At 48.8% G+C, this 2,091-nt stretch overlaps 1 annotated feature.

Moving 5' to 3' along the window:
* Positions 642–871: a silencer, noted in NCBI's record as "fragment chr10:43398966-43399195 (GRCh37/hg19 assembly coordinates)". NCBI's record gives its function as "represses an EF-1alpha promoter that drives an FKBP-Casp9 reporter gene in an ReSE screen in HepG2 liver carcinoma cells {active_cell/tissue: HepG2}" and the evidence as "EXISTENCE:reporter gene assay evidence [ECO:0000049][PMID:32094911]".

The raw sequence follows: 2,091 nt of genomic DNA, 5'->3' as shown, positions 1-2,091 counted from the left end.
TTGGTTTGGATCCATTGCTGGTAAGTTAGCGTGATTTTTTGAGGGTGTTAAAGAACATTGTTTTGTTGTATTACCAGAATTGTTTTTCTAGTTCCTTCTCATTTGTGTGGGCTATGTCAGAGGGAAGATCTGGGACTCAAGGGCTGCTGTTTAGATTCCTTTGTCCCACAGGGTTCTCCCTTGATGTGGTGCTCTCCCCCACACCCTTGGAATAGGACTTCCTGAGAGCCAAATTGCAGTGATTGGTATTTCTCTTCTAGATCTAGCCACCCAGAAGAGCTACCAGCCTCTGGGCTGGTACTGAGGAGTGTCTGCAAAGAGTCCTGTGATGTGATCCGTCTTTAGGTCTCTCAGCTGTGGATACCAGCGCCTGGACTCTGTGAGGGTCCTTGGTTGTATTTTTATTAAGTGTGCTAGTTTTGGTTGGGTGTGGTGGCTCACACCTGTAATCCCAGGACTTCAGGAGGCCGAGGCGGGTGGATCACCTGAGGTCAGGCGTTCAAGACCAGCCTGGCCAACATGGTGAAACCCCGTCTCAACTAAAAATACAAAAAAATTAGCTGGGCACGTTGGTGGGCACCTGTAATCCCAGCTACTTTGGGAGGCTGAGGCAGGAGAATAGCTTGAACCTGAGAGGCAGAGGTTGCAGTGAGCTGAGATCATGCCATTGCACTCCAGTCTGGGCAACAAGAGGGAAACTCTGTCTCAACAACAATGACAACAACAAAAGGTGCTAGTTTTGTTTTGGTTGGCCTCCAGCCAGGAGGTGGTGCTTTTAAGAGCACATCAGCTGCAGTAGTATAGGGAGGATACAAGCTTGCCCTAAGGTCAGGTGGTAGGCAGGGCCATAGAGTTCCCAAGAGATTATGTCCTTTGTCTTCTGTTACCAGGGCAGGTAGAGAAAGACCATCAGGTCTGGTCAGGGTTAGGCATGTCTGAGCTCAGACTCTCCTTGTGCGGGGCCTGCCACTGCTGCTTTAGGGGGTGGAGGTGTGGTTCCCAGGCCAATGGAGTTATGTTACCAAGGGGATTATAGCTGCTTCTGCTGCATCACACAGGTTGCCAGGGAAGGGGGGGAAAGCTGGCAGCCACAGGCGTCACCCAGCTGCCATGCAGCCCACAGCCCAAAAGGCTGATCTCACTCCCACTGTGGTCCCCCAACAGCACTCAGTTTATTTCCAGGCAGCCAGTGAGCAGGGCTGAGAACTTGCCCCAGGCTACAAGCCTTCCAGGTGAGAAAGCAAACAGACTGGCAGTTTCCTCAGCTGTCCCATGGAGCCTGCAGTGGCAATCCACCTCCTTCAAGGGGTCTGTGGATTCTCTCAGGTTTCCTGGTATGTTCTTGAGGTAGTTCATGATGTGAATCTCCACGTGCTGCTCTGTCTGAGTAGGAGCTGCTAGTCCTGCCTCCTATCCACCATTTTGACCTCAAATTGACAAGCCAATTTTTCCTTTTCATAGCAAGTATATAGGATTCACAGGGACTACTGTCTGAATCCTAAACAAGGTACCCCAAGATCTTTGTGTCCTATTCTGAGATAGGCTGGCCATCTGCAAATCCCCTATTAGAAGCCCCTTGCTGTTTGATGCTGTGTTTGCTTCTGTAAAAGATCAAGGAGAAAACCACCCATTAGTGTCTCACGTAAGGTAAAAAGAAGGATACAATTAGATGTCGCCTCAGTAACATGATAAAGGAATGCAAATATTTGTTTCCCATGGGATGGTCACTCAGCTGTCCCTGTAAAGGAATTGTCACCTTGTGACATCCAGTATGTTAGGGGCAAACCTATTGCTATGCAACAAAACATTCCAAAATTTAGTGGTTTAAGACAACAATTTATTGTTTCTCACAATTCTGTGGGTTGAGAGTTTGGGCAGGGCATGGCTGGGCAGCTCTTCTGCTCCACCTCATGGCATGGACTACATATATGGAGCTGAGCTAGGCTAGAGGGTCCAATAAGTCTCCACCCACAAGTCTAGAACCTCAGTGCTCCCTTATGTTGTCTCTCTCTCCATATGGATAACTTGGGCTTCCTCACAGCATGGCTGTCTCAGTACAGTTTAACACCTTACCTTGTCTGGACTCTAGAA

Source organism: Homo sapiens, chromosome 10 (genome assembly GCF_000001405.40).
Source record: "Homo sapiens chromosome 10, GRCh38.p14 Primary Assembly".
Lineage (NCBI taxonomy): Eukaryota > Metazoa > Chordata > Mammalia > Primates > Hominidae > Homo > Homo sapiens.
Note: the sequence above shows the minus strand (reverse complement) of the source record. Positions and strands in the feature narration are given on the sequence as shown.